The sequence below is a fragment of the Homo sapiens genome, chromosome 17 (genome assembly GCF_000001405.40).
Source record: "Homo sapiens chromosome 17, GRCh38.p14 Primary Assembly".
NCBI lineage: Eukaryota > Metazoa > Chordata > Mammalia > Primates > Hominidae > Homo > Homo sapiens.
In genome coordinates this window covers 73,218,921-73,232,432 of record NC_000017.11, presented here as the reverse complement: position 1 = coordinate 73,232,432, position 13,512 = coordinate 73,218,921, and the positions used below count along the sequence as shown (strand labels likewise).

The following is a 13,512-nucleotide window of genomic DNA, read 5'->3' as shown; positions in this document are numbered from 1 at the left end:
CCAGAAGCTCCTAGTCGCTCCTCCCGCTCCGAGCCCGCCTCTTCCCGTGGGCGGGGTTACCAGTCGGTGCGGTTGGGATGGTGCCACTGCGCAGCCGCGAGAGGGCGGTACCACGGCGGCAGCGACATGGGGGGGCGCGGAGCAGACGCCGGAAGTAGTGGTGGTACGGGTCCGACTGAGGGGTACTCGCCACCGGCTGCGTCCACCCGAGCGGCTGCGAGAGCCAAGGCCCGAGGGGGTGGGCGTGGCGGCCGCCGAAACACAACCCCCTCTGTTCCCTCTCTTCGCGGAGCGGCGCCGCGTAGCTTCCATCCGCCAGCTGCCATGAGCGAGCGCCTCCGTCCCAGGTGAGAGGGAAGGGACCCCCTTTCCATTCGTCGCCTGAGGATCTGGGAGATAGAGCCGAGGGGGCGCGCGAAATGGGGGTCGGAGCAAGAGTGGACCCGGCGGGGCTCCCTGTGGGGTGCACTGCGGGCCGGGGGAGGAGGGGAGAGGGATGCGCGAGTGATCGGATGCTTGGTTCCTGTGGGTAGCTGGAAGGTGACTCTCCGGGGTCCAGGTCTCCCGCCCCTCCATCTTTTTTCCCCCCTGTCTTTTCCTATTTGGAACGAAGTGTGATCGGTCCCGGAAGAGAGACGGTGGCCCTAAAGCTTTCCTGTCCTAAATTTAGGAGGGTGGGGGGATGGGATAAACGTCTCATCTTGGAGAGGGAGCCCCCAAAGGCTTTTGTGAGGGCACCGGGCGGGGAGCTGCCGGCTCCCCAAGGTCAGAAAGAAAGGTTGGGCTTAACCCCGCAGCAGGGAAAGATTCGGTTAGACCGAAGAACTTGTGCCCTGAACGGTTGTGAACACAGAAGGGCAGATGACCAAGGCGGGTTATGGATCTTCTCTTGACTGTGGCATTAAGAACAAGCTGGATTCTAAACTGTTTGGATTGCGGGGCCGTTTGACTCCGAAGGCGGGAGGAAAGATTTTATCGCGATGCACTCGCTACCTTCCCGAGGGAGCCTGGCCTCGGGACGCGGGTCTTAAATTAGGGGTTCTGTGCTTGACATGTACTACTAGAGTCCGGACTAAGTTGGGATTTCTTAATTTTTTTCTCTCTCTTAATTTCCTCTGCAAGAATGTGTGGAGGAGAAAGTTGGGAAAGGTTACCTCAGAATGCTCTTCCTGTTACGGTCTTTCCACAAGGATCCTTCTCTGAAATAATTATTTCATGTGATTGAAGTTCTCAAAAGTATTCTGAGTTTATTTGGTCCCATAGTGAAAACCTAGGGTTCCCCAAGCTGCTGCATTGGATTATTGATTTGGGTCATGTAGCAGGTGGAGCATAAAGCCTCTCCTTGTATAGAAAAGAAGAGTGGACTAAATTTGAAATTGGGGGCCCAATTACAGACATGCCATCGGAATTAGGAGCAAGATCTTTAGATACAGTGAATCTGACCCGACTGCCATATTATTCTTTCCCAAACCCAGTTTATACTTACGATATTCTCTTGGGGTGTCTCACATATCTGAAAAAAAATCTAAATATTTCCTACAAATAAAAATTCTACTGTACATAACTAATCTGAATGCATTTATACTGGCAGTAGATTCCTTTTATCTTGTACACAAATAATCTCAACATGTTTTAAAGAAGTTATTTGATTTGGACAGGCTTTTCCTGCCAGTGTTTAATGGAGTATGATGGGCCAGCTCTGCCAGCTCTAGGATGGTCTAAGACGGTGGTTTTTCGGCTGGGTGCGGTGGCTCACGCCTGTAATCCCAGCACTTTGGGAAGTCAAGGCGGGCGGATCACCTGAGGTCAGGAGTTGGAGATCACTCTGGCCAACATGGTGAAACTCTGTCTCTACTAAAAATACAAAAAAATTAGTTGGGCCTGGTGGTGGGCACCTTCATCCCAGCTACTTGGGAGGCTAAGGCAGGAGAATCGCTTGAACCTGGAAGGCGGAGGTTGCAGTGAGCGGAGATCACTGCACTCAAGCCTGAGCAACAAGAGCGAAACTTCCATCTAAAAAAAAAAAAGGGTTTTCAGGCTCTCCCACAGTAGATTGGATAGCCGCAGAGAGGTGAGTGTGTAGTGAGGGAGTCCCTGCTTATTGATTGATTGATTGGTTGATTGATTGACTGATTGATTGACAGAGTCTCACTCTGTCGACCAGGCTGGAGTGCAGTGGCCCCATCATGCCTCACTGCAGCCTCAACCTCCCAGGCTCAGGTGATCCTCCCACGTCAGCCTCCTGAGTAGCTGGAGCACAGGTGTGAGCTACCACACCCAGCTAATCTGTGTATTTTTGGTAGAGGTGGGGTTTCACTATATTGCCCAGGCTGGTCTTGAACTCCTGGGCTCAAGGGATCCACCCGCCTCGGCATCCCAAAGTGCTGGGATTACAGATGTGAGCCACCTCACCAGACTGGGAGTCCCTACTTTAACAGATCCTTTATCTCTTATATAGAGAGAATTTTTTTACAGTAAGAAAGAAAGAGTTCTGTTACTTTTTAAAATAAAGTTTGAAAACCACTAGTTTCCATACTCTTTTTTTTTTTTTTTTTTTTTTTTTTTGAGATGGAGTCTCACTGTGTCGGCCAGGCTGGAGTGCAGTGGTGCGATCTCGGCACACTGCAACCTCTACCTCCTGGGTTCAAGCAGTTCCCCTGCCTCAGCCTCCCAAGTAGCTGGGATTACAGGCACACGCCACCACGCCCTGCTAACTCTTTTGTATTTTTAGTAGAGACAGGGTTTCACCATGTGGGCCAGGCTGGTTTCGAACTCCTGACCTCAAGTGATCTGCCTGCCTCAGCCTCCCAAAGTGCTGGGATTACAGGTGTGAGTCACCGTGCCCAGCCCATACTCTTAAGATTATTTCTATGCCGAGTCTCTAGGAGATGACAGGAAGGTTGGAGAGAAATGAAATAATGCAACGTGATGGAATCAACCATCTGTAGAAGTAACAGATGCTAACTGGTAATCTGCACCTAGATGGTTAGGGAAGAATATAATCAGTTATAGGGGTGCCTGCTAAAATCATAACCTGGTCTGTGGCATTAATGCCAAAAATTGTAATCTGATTGATTGAACTGATAGGGATGAGCATGAAGCTGTAATCTTGCCAGTTGTTAACACCATTGTTGAAAGAAGAATGTTTCAAGGATGAGATCTGCTAAGAGCCTAGAAAAAGGCAAATGAAGAGCAGGTAGGACTCTTTCTTAATCTGGTACCATCCAGAGGAGAAGGCTACCAACAGGCCAAAGAGATTATTCTGGTGCCTTGAGAGATCAAGTAATTTATGAGGCAGGGATATTTCATGTGACTCTCCCAGAGATTAGTTGAAATCCACAAAATCATCTCATCTTTTTTTGTTCTTACAGTCCCTCTGCCATGCAACCTCCTTGACATTCATAGTCTTGTCCCTGGAAAGATCTATCCCCCATTATAAATGAGGAGATAGCAAATTTTGATCAGGCTCCTAAGTTTGGTTAGAGTGACTCAGCAGCCCAAAGCCCAGTCAGCTGTTGGCACGCTGATAAAATGGGTGTGTGAGGACCAGCAGCTGCTACTTACTCAATGACTTTCTCTTTGGGTGTCGACTGGCCTCCCAGCAGACATTGCTTTGCCTCTGCAGAACACTCCCACTCAAATTCCCTGATCATATTAGGATGAAATTAGCAGTTTCTTGGTTCAAATTTATGATAAAAGCACACCCATTTAATGATTATTAAAACCTGATATTCATCTATTTTTTTTTAACCTCCAACTACTTCAAAGTAATGTGCAGCTAAGATCTGATCTCCTAAGAGAAAGGTGGGGAGCAGAAATGTCTTAGAATGAAGTAAATTACATAGCCCAGTGCAGGATGGTTGAAGCTTTATCAGAACCACACACTCTTTATTATTCCAAACTTAAGCTGGGATCCATACTCATTATTAAAGTTAGACCTATTCAGAATGTTGCAGAGTACAGAGAAGTGAGCTTAGGGTGATCATTTATTTTCTCTAATATTCAAACCTCAACTCAAAACCTTTAGGATTAAAGGCCTGCCACTGTAAGCCACCCTACTCTCATAGAAAGTGTATAATTATTTAGAAGACACTATATCCTCCAAATGTACATGCTTTCCAAGAGCTGTGTGTCCACACTAGCCTTTTGTCTCTTAACTATAGAAAGCTGAAACTTCAAGGGTTTTGTAATAGGTGCTGCTGCCATGTACATACAGACCTCTAGCCTGTGCTGCTCCGGAGAACGTTCTGCAGTGACGGAAATGTCCTTTATCTGTGCTGGTCAGTGCAGTAGCCACTAGCTACACGTGGCCACTGAGCACTAGAAACAGGGCAGCTGTGACCTAGGAACTGGATGGTTAATTTTAGTTAATTTAAATGTAAATAACCATATGTGGCTAGTGGCTACCGTATTGGACAGTACAGTTCCGGGCAATTTGACTGAAAATTATACCTCCTTTAATTTATTTCTGTTTTCTAACAGGTTCAGAAATCGTTTTGACAGCACATAATTCTTAAATAGAGTACATGCAAATTTGGTCTTTCTTGCATGTCCGAGAACACTTGCCTAAGAAAGATGTGTGATTTTTCTTTAAACCTGGAAATTTTAAGCAGCTTATGCTATCATCTCATAGTAACAATCTAGTGAAGTAATTGTTATATCATAATACCGGCTAGTGTTGCCAGAATAAGCAGGTGAATGTGACCAAGAGGTACTTTTATAAGGGTTTTCAGGGCAAATAGGCAAAGGCAGCCACTCTTATATCAAATGTTGTCATATGGAAGGGAGTACAATTAGGTAACTCGGAATCCTAATTTCAGGGAGTGTAAAAAGAAGAAAACCTTAATTAGGTTAGAGGTTGAAAGCTTAGTCATTAACCTCTTCCTGTTCTTGTTTCAGTCCCAACAGACATTTAAAATTGTTAAGCTTCTTTTTAGAAATGAGTTTTACTAACTTAAGCTTGACCTCGCTGCTGCTGTCTTGTATTTTTGCTCTTAGTGTCCAGTGATGCTGTACTTCCAACTGATAACCTATTGGGATATCATATGCTGAATTATGTTTTCTCAGGCCAGAGGGCAAATTTATATGTTGTTATGGTTTGCAATTCAAGTGTCCAAAACATCGGTTGTTTGGGTTTTTTTTTTTTTCTCCTTGTGATTTAATTTCAGGAAAAGGAGAAGGAATGGCAACGAAGAAGACAACCATCTTCCCCCCCAGACCAAAAGAAGTAGCAGAAACCCTGTCTTTCAGGATTCCTGGGACACAGAGGTAGGAAGTGTGGTCACATAGTCTGTTGTTTTCACTGCTTGAGTTAAATAACCTAGTATCTGCTGTGTAATTAAATTTACTTAAACAGTAATTTAAAATGACCTTAGTTGATTATACTGGTTTAACCTTTCTGTTTCCAAATCAGGGTCCCTTTGAGGAAGCTGTGTACCCTGTCCCCAGCAAAACAGTACATATGTGCACATAGTCATATATGTACACACTCATTTGTATTTGTTAGAAATTTCGTGGCTTTTTGAAAGCCTATGTTTGAACTCACTGTTTTGTATTTCAGCAGCGAACTTCTTTTCTGGTAGTTTATAAACCATGAATTGTCCTTAAGATAAACATATTTTGTTGCTTCAATTCAAATGCCTTTTAAGAGAAACTTTAAGCATGTAAAATATGTAAGGTATGTGTATGCAGAATCCCATTTCTCAGTGTTTTTACTTTTCATTATCTTGTTGTGAAAAGAGCTCCTGTGGTGAGAGGGAAGGGGAGTTGGGTGTTCTGGAACTTTTTTACAATTTTTGATTTCATGAAAGAGTGCTTCAGTACGCAGACTGAGGATACATTTTCTGTGCAATTGGAAGGCTGCTCTGTGCTGGGGAAAGGAAACCAATATAAAGTAATGCTGCTATTAAGTTATGCACCTAGAGATTTTGACCCTTAACAGTTGTCACACTAAGAGAAAAGCCTCAACAACAAAGAGCCCTAGCCTCATAACTCACAGTAGAATTCTCCCACACCCAAATAATTTGTACTTTAATTAGTTCCTGATAATAGGATTTGACCTATATCCAGTCTGTCTTTGCCAGCAATTCAAAGTAACTCCCCCAAGGGGGAAAAATCAGGAACTTTCATGTAGGTAACAGTCATTCAGAGACAGTGAACAAGTGCAGAGTAGAATCCTTCTGTGTGGAGACCTGAGTTTCTATAGCTGTTTTTCCTCTTCAAATATTTTCCTGGCCGAGCGCAGTGGCTCATCCCTATAATCCCAGCCCTTTGGTAGGCCAAGGTGGGCAGATCACGAGGTCAGGAGTTCGAGACCAGCCTGGCCAACATGGTGAAACCCCATCTCTACTAAAAATACAAAAAATTAGCTGGGTGTGGTGGTGCACGCCTGTAATCCCAGCTACTTGGGAGGCTGAGGTGGGAGAATGGCTTGAACCCAGGAGGCAGAGGTTGCAGTGAGCTGAGATCGTGCCGTTTTACTCCAGCCTGGGCAACAGAGCAAGACTCCGTTTCAGAAAAAAAAAAAAAAAAAATATATATATATATATATTATATATATATATATTTTTTTCCTATTTGCTTTTTTCTTTTCTTTTTAAAAAATGATTATCAGAAAGGTAATTGAGCTTTGTTTAATGTAATAGTTGGGAATCTCAGGGATGAAAGAAAACAAGATTAGAGGCTACCATGAATATCTAATGATAAAACCCTGTAATAGTAATTGAGTTTCCATTCTTTTGAATTGTAAGACTATTCATTAAAAGAGTATGCAAAGATTACTTCTATGGTGTTGGCCATCAGTATTTCCTTACTTGTGTCTGTATGTAAGTCCTGCTATATGATGTTCATTTCAGTCAAGGGTATGGTAGGTCTAACTCTCTGTATTAACGTTTTTTTCCCGTATCTGCCAGTTTTGAAGCCTGAGAACAGCAATAGAAATTGCCATCTTTTTCTTGCTTTTGTCTCTTGGTTAAAAAAAAAGAAAGAAATTGTCATCCTTTTTTAAAAAAATTAACATTTCTGATCTCTTAAGTAAGGCAGATATTGTAGATTTTTAAATTTTATTTATTTATTTATTTAGTTTTTGGTACAAAATGACCTTTACTCTCTTTCTAAAATCCGTGCATTGGTCTCACAGAAGAAAACAACGTCTTGTTACTCAACCTCCTGGGTTCTCTAGCTGAGCTTGTCCTTACTTGTCCAAAGAAATTCAGTTGTTGAGCCACTCCGTAATCATTATCTGAAGGAAGGACTAGATTGTCTTCCTTATCGTTTAAGGTCATTACTGGTAGTTTCTGTCTGAACTCACTGGTAGATCACCTAATGGGGTGTTACAACCATTAGTTTCAGCCTTGCTTACTGAACATTGACCAGAATAGCCTGCTGTGCCGTCCTGTGCTGTCCTGTCCTGTCCTATCCTATGCTGTCCTGTCCTGTCCTGTGCTGTGCTGTGCTGTGCTGTGCTGTGCTGTCCTGTCCTGTGCTGTGCTGTGCTGTGCTGTCCTGTCCTGTCCTGTCCTGTCCTGTCCTGTCCTGTCCTGTCCTGTGCTGTGCTGTCCTGTCCTGTGCTGTCCTGTCCTGTCCTGTCCTGTGCTGTGCTGTGCTGTGCTGCGCTGTGCTTCCTGGCAGTGGTATTAACAAGTAACAAGGACAAGTGAATGATGAGAGAGCCAGAGAAGCAAAAGGCAGAGGGAATATCTTTTAAAATGGAAAGTTAAGCCCCAAATAATGAAGTTTTCACTACTGGAATAAATGATTATGTTTGTAGCAGCAAAAAATCAAGTTTAGGGACATTTGGCTGGTTTTTGATGATTGTGTATAAAAGGGAAAATAAAACAATTCATTTTTAATTATATTAACAATTTAGACAAAATATTTTATTAATAACATTACTAATGAAAATGTTTTCTTTTAATTCTGAGGTAGGGCCATGAGGTCAGTTTCCTTGAAACTTAAGTTATGTAAGAGAAACCATTTCCTATGTTTTCCCTGAATGAATAAGCTTTGTCACCCAGACTGGAGTGCAGTGGTGTGATCTCAGCTCACTGCAACCTCTACCTCCCAGGCTCAAGCAATACTCCTACATCAGCCTCCCAAGTAGCTGGAACTACAGGCACATGCTACCATGCTGGGTTAATTTTTTAAGGTTTTTTTTTTTTTTTTTTTTTTGGAGAGACGACGTCTCACTATATGGCCCAGGCTGGTCGTGAACTCTTGGGCTCAAGCGATCCTCCCACCTCAGCCTCCCCAAAATGCTGGGATTACAGACTTGAGCCACCATGCCTGGCTAGAATTCCCTTCCTTCCTTCCCTCTGTTCTCCCCTCCCCTTCTCTCCCCTACCTTCTCATCCCCTCCCCTCCACTTTCTTCTCTTCCCCTCCTTCCTCTCTTCCTTTCTCCCTCCCTCCCTTCTTCCCTCCCTCCTTTCCTTCCTCCCTTTCTTTCTTTTCTTTCTGGCAGGGGCTCCCTCTGTTGCCCAAGCTGAGTGCAGTGGAATGATCATGGTTCACTGTAGCCTCAACCTCCTGGGCTCAAATGATCCTTCCTCTTCAGCCTCCTGAGGTGCTGGGACTACAGGGATGTGCCACCAAACCTGGCTAATTTTTTTAATTTTTTGTAGAGACAGGGTCTTGCTGTGTTGCCCAGGCTGGTCTTGAACTCCTGGCCTCTGACCCTCCTCCACTGGGCCTGGCCAAATTCTTTTTCTTATTTTCTTTTTTTTGTTAACCTGGCTGTTTAAGAATTCTTTTTCTTATAACTTGAACTTCATGAGGAATTTTTTTTTTAATTCTAAGAGAGATTTAAAAGTTACTTACAATTCATTTCTAAAAGTTAACCTTTTTGCTTAAGTACAATAATAATGGCGAGTACTAGGAAATATGTGAGGTGTTTTATTTATGTTAAACCATTAAATTGTGCCACAAGTAAATCACAACTATCTGTACAGTGGAGATAATAGTATCTGCCTCTTCTTTCCTAGATACTATAAAGCTAAATAATGTGAACTGATTTGCCGGATTAGTTATATAGAGAGAAACTTCATGTGTGCATAAATTAATGTGTGCATAAATGGCTTCTTTCCCCCATTTTATTTTTTTATTGTTTATTGTTTTTTGAGAGGGAGTTTCACTCTTGTTGCCCAGACTGGAGTGCAATGGCGCAATCTCGGCTTGCCATAACCTCTGCCTCCTGGATTCAAGCGATTATCCTGCCTCAGCCTCCCGAGTAGCTGGGATTACAGGCATGTGCCACCACACCCTGCTAATTTTGTATTTTTAGTAAAGGCAAGGTTTCTCCATGTTGGTCAGGCTGGTCTTGAATTCCTGACCTCAGGTGATCTACCTGCCTTGGCCTCCCAAAGTGCTGGGATTCCAGGCGTGAGCTACCGTGCCCAGCCTGTTTTAGTAGGTATTATTATCTCCACTTCTCAGATGGAAAACTTGGCACACAGAAAAATAGTCACTTGTCCAAAGAACACAGCTAGTAAGAGGCAGAGGAGGAACGGAGCCCCAGGGTGTGGTTGTTGGGCTGCACGCTCCTGACCATGGTGTGTGCTCTCCCAGAAGATAGAACAGAGGTTCTGCGAGACTTTGCTAAATATATCCAGGAGCAGCTAGAGCCTAGTCTTCTCTTTTTTTTTCTTTTTTTTTTTTTTTGAGACAGAGTTTCGCTCTGTCACCTAGGCTGGAGTGCAGTGGCATGATCTCAGCTCACTGCAACCTCCACCTCCCAGGTTCAAGTGATTCTCCTGCCTCAGCCTCCTGAGTAGCTGGGATTACAGGCACCCGCCAGCTCGCCCAGCAAATTTTTGTATTTTTAGTAGAAATGGGTTTCACGATGTTGGCCAGGCTGGTCTCAAACTCCTGACCTTAGGTGATCCATCCGCCTTGGCCTTCCAAAGTGCTGGGATTATAGGCGTGAGCCACCGCGCCCAGCCCTAGTTTTGTTTTGAGTCAGGAACAGAGAAGAACAATTTTCCTTCTCTTTTTATCTAGAAGCTGTTTTTTCCAAGTACATGGCATGATATGATCTTAGCTATAAAGCAATTTTAGATTTCTAGCAAGAAAAAAAACAAAAATGTGGTCTTGTGTTTTTTTTTTCCAAATCTCTGATTAGTGCTTGAATTGAAGACTTTGAATTTTAACTCCAGTAACTTGGACTTAATGACTTATGAGCCTTAGAATACTATTTTTTTAAGTTGAAGTATTTACTAATTTAATTTTTTTTTTTTTTTTGAGACAGGGTCTTGCTCAGTTGCCTAGGCAGGAGTGCCGTGGTGCTGTCATGGCTTACTGCAGCTGTGAACTCATGGGCTTAAGCACTCCTCCCTGCTCAGCCTCCCAAACTACAGGTGTGCGCCACTACACCTGGCTAGTTTTTTTTTTTTTTTTTTTTTTGAGACAGAGTCTCGCTCTTTCCCCAGGCTGGAATGCAGTGGCGCATCTCAGCTCACTGCAGCCTCCGCCTCTGGGGAGGGTTCAAGCAATTCTCCTGCCTCAGCCTCCCGAGTAGCTGGGACTACAGGGGACCGCCACCACGCCCAGCTAATTTTTGTACTTTTAGTAGAGACGGGGTTTCACCATGTTGGCCAGAATGGTCTCGATCTCTTGATCTCATGATCCGCCCGCCTCGGCCTCCCAAAGTGCTGGGATTACAGGCGTGAGCCACCGCGCCCGGCCCACCTGGCTAGTTTTAAAATTTTTTTTGTGGAGATGGGGGTCTCCTCATGTTGTCCAGGCTGATCTTGAACTCCTGGGCTCAAGCAATCCTTCCACCTTGGCCTTCCAAAGTATTAGGATTACAGGTGTGAGCCACCATGCCCAGCCTAATTTTTTGTTTCGTGTAAAGCCATTCTAGATGAATCACATTAGTTAACATCTATCTCAGGCTCAGTTTTCTCTTCACTGAGCAAGAAGTGAAATGATTTTATCAATTTTTTTCTATCAAATCCTGATCTTGGGCAACTATTTGGATGGGTAAAAACTACTTAGATTTAACTTAAATTTTTTTTTTAGGGTCTAGTCTTTTTAGGTTGAATTCTATTATTTACATGTAGAAGGAGTAATGTTCTTTACTTTCAGTTTTAATATCTTTATCTACAAATTACACTAGAAGTTTCTGTGTAAATCTAGCTTCTGTTACCTAGGTATATGCCTTGTAAAAAGTGCTTCTACTTGAGTAAATAAAAGCAGTATCTTCTCATCCTTAGGAGGGAAGAAATTAAAATCTAAATTTGGCTGGGGCCCGGTGGCTCATGCCTGCAATCCCAGCACTTTGGGAGGCCAAGGCGGGCAGATCACGAGGTCAGGAGTTCGAGACCAGCCTGACCAACATGGTGAAACCCCGTCTCTACTAAAAATACAAAAATTAACCGGGCGTGGTGGCGCGTACCTGTAATCCCAGCTACTCAGGAGGCTGAGGCAGGAGAACTGCTTGGACCCGGGAGGCGGAGGTTGCAGTGAGCTGAGATTGCACCACTGCACTCCAGACTGGGCGACAGAGCGAGACTCCATCTCAAAAAAAAAAAAAAAAAAAAAATCTAAATTAAAAAAAAAGCAATACCTTTTAAAAGTACAAAGACCTCAATTTTTTTTAATACCTTTAACTTAGCTTAACAAGACCATTTTGATTTTTTAGACCAGTGTGAAGTAATATCAGATAGAGAGTGAAAAAATGTGGAGATAAAACAGAAGTGGCTGCCGGGCCATGTCTATAATCCCAGCACTTTGGGAGACAGAGGCAGGTGGATCACCTGAGGTCAGGAGTTTGACACCAGTTTGGTCAACATGGTGAAACCCCGTCTCTACTAACAATACAAAAATTGGCTGGGCGTGGTGGTGCATGCCTGGAGTCCCAGTTACTCAGGAGGCCTAGGCAGGAGAATCACATGAACCTAGGAGGCGGAGGTTGCAGTGAGATGAGATCGCACCACCGCACTCCAGCCTGGGTGACAGAGCGAGTCTCCATCTCAAAATAAAAAACAAAAAAAAGAAGTGGCTTACCTAGGACAGCTTCAGCCCCTTTGTCTCTACTAGAAGGCAAAATTTTTGATGTTAATATTAAAATCCTAAGGGAATTCTTAGTGGGAATGCGGAAGTGTGAGAAATTAAAAAAGAATAGAACCAGGGGATCCATTTATCATAAAGTTAGGAGTCTATAAATTCATTTGTTTTAACTGATAAGAATTAGCTGAGTGTTGGGTGATTTTTTAAAAAATAATGTGAATTCATATGACAATAGGAGTATTTAGAATAATTTTTTTAAATGTTATTTTAAGCTCTTCATTCTTGCCCATTCTCATCTTTAATCCGTCTTAGAGTTGTAGTATTAATACATTCTAAGAGACAGACTGATTTGGCCGACTCTTTTCAGTGAAACTGTTAGGATTGTGTGTTTAGAACCCTGTAGCAAATTAACTCTGAAATTAAGTTTTGTTTTTTTTTTTTTTCTTTTTTTGGAGACAGGGTCTCACTCTGTCTCCCAGGCTAGAGTGTGGTGGTATGATCATGGCTTACTGCAGCCTTGACCTCCCCAGGCTCAGGTGATCCTCCCACCTCAGCCTCCTGAGTAACTGGGACTACAGGCGCGCACTGCCATGCCCAGCTTATTTTTATATTCTTTTTGTAGAGACAGGTTTTCACCATGTTGCCCAGGCTGATCTCGAACTCCTGGACTCACGTGATCCACCTGCCTCGGCCTTCCAAAGTGCTAGGATTATAGGCATGAGCCACCATGCCTGGCCTGAGATTAATTTCATTTTTTTTTCTTTTTTCTTTTTTTTTGGAGACAGAGTCTCGCTCTGTTGCCCAGGCTGGAGTGCAGTGGTGTGATCTCCGCTCACTGCAAGCTCTGCCCCCCAGGTTCACACCATTCTCCTGCCTCAGCCTCCCGAGTAGCTGGAACTACAGGCGCCTGCCACCACACCCGGCTAATTTTTTTGTATTTTTAGTAGAGACGGGGTTCCACAGTGTTCGCCAGGATGGTCTCAATCTCCTGACCTCGTGATCCACCCACCTCGGCCTCCAGAGGACTGGGATTACAGGCATGAGCCACCGCGCCCAGCCGAGATTAATTTCTTAAAAGATCCATTCAAAAGGGAGGAACAGTGCTGTTAGTCTAATTTATAGAATACATTTACTTTGCTTACAGTTTAAGTCCTTGATATGTTTGTAAATACCTCAATTCACAGCATACTAAGCTACCCCAAGCAGTTTCGTCGTTTTTTTTTTTTTTTTTTTTTTGAGACGGAGTTTTTCTCTTGTTGCCCAGGCTGGAGTGCTATGGCACAATCTTGGCTCACTGCAACCTCTGCCTCCCGGGTTCAAGCGATTCGCCTGCCTCAGCCTTCCGAGTAGCTGGGATTACAGGCAATGCACAACCACACCTGGCTAATTTTTTGTATTTTTTTTTTTTGAGACGGAGTCTCGCTCTGCCATCCAGGCCATAGTGCAGTGGCATGACCTCGGCTCACTGCAAGCTCCGCCTCCCAGGTTCATGCCATTCTCCTGCCTC

General features: G+C 43.9%; 1 protein-coding gene across 7 annotated transcripts in view, besides 2 other annotated features; it reads left to right on the top strand.

Moving 5' to 3' along the window:
* VCF1 (VCP nuclear cofactor family member 1) overlaps nucleotides 39–13,512 on the top strand; it is a 25,042-nt gene continuing 11,568 nt past the window's right edge. For 2 of the 7 annotated variants that reach the window (NM_032837.3, NM_001098832.2), the window contains exons 1-2: nucleotides 39–347; nucleotides 5,169–5,268. In NM_032837.3, coding sequence (NP_116226.2) covers nucleotides 127–347; nucleotides 5,169–5,268 — 321 coding nt within the window. In that variant the 5' untranslated portion in view covers nucleotides 39–126. Of the gene's footprint in view, nucleotides 348–2,815; nucleotides 3,197–4,719; nucleotides 4,798–5,168; nucleotides 5,269–13,512 lie in introns of those variants that run through there. The other 5 variants (NM_001289411.1, XM_047436947.1, XM_024451008.2 and 2 more) reach the window with 5 other exon arrangements.
* Nucleotides 546–1,322: an enhancer, noted in NCBI's record as "H3K27ac hESC enhancer chr17:71227250-71228026 (GRCh37/hg19 assembly coordinates)". NCBI's record gives its function as "activates a minimal SCP1, AML or CMV promoter by ChIP-STARR-seq in primed H9 embryonic stem cells {active_cell/tissue: H9 hESC(primed)}" and the evidence as "EXISTENCE:reporter gene assay evidence [ECO:0000049][PMID:30033119]".
* Nucleotides 3,404–3,453: an enhancer, noted in NCBI's record as "active region_12691". NCBI's record gives its function as "activates an Ori minimal core promoter by ATAC-STARR-seq in GM12878 lymphoblastoid cells {active_cell/tissue: GM12878}" and the evidence as "EXISTENCE:reporter gene assay evidence [ECO:0000049][PMID:35858748]".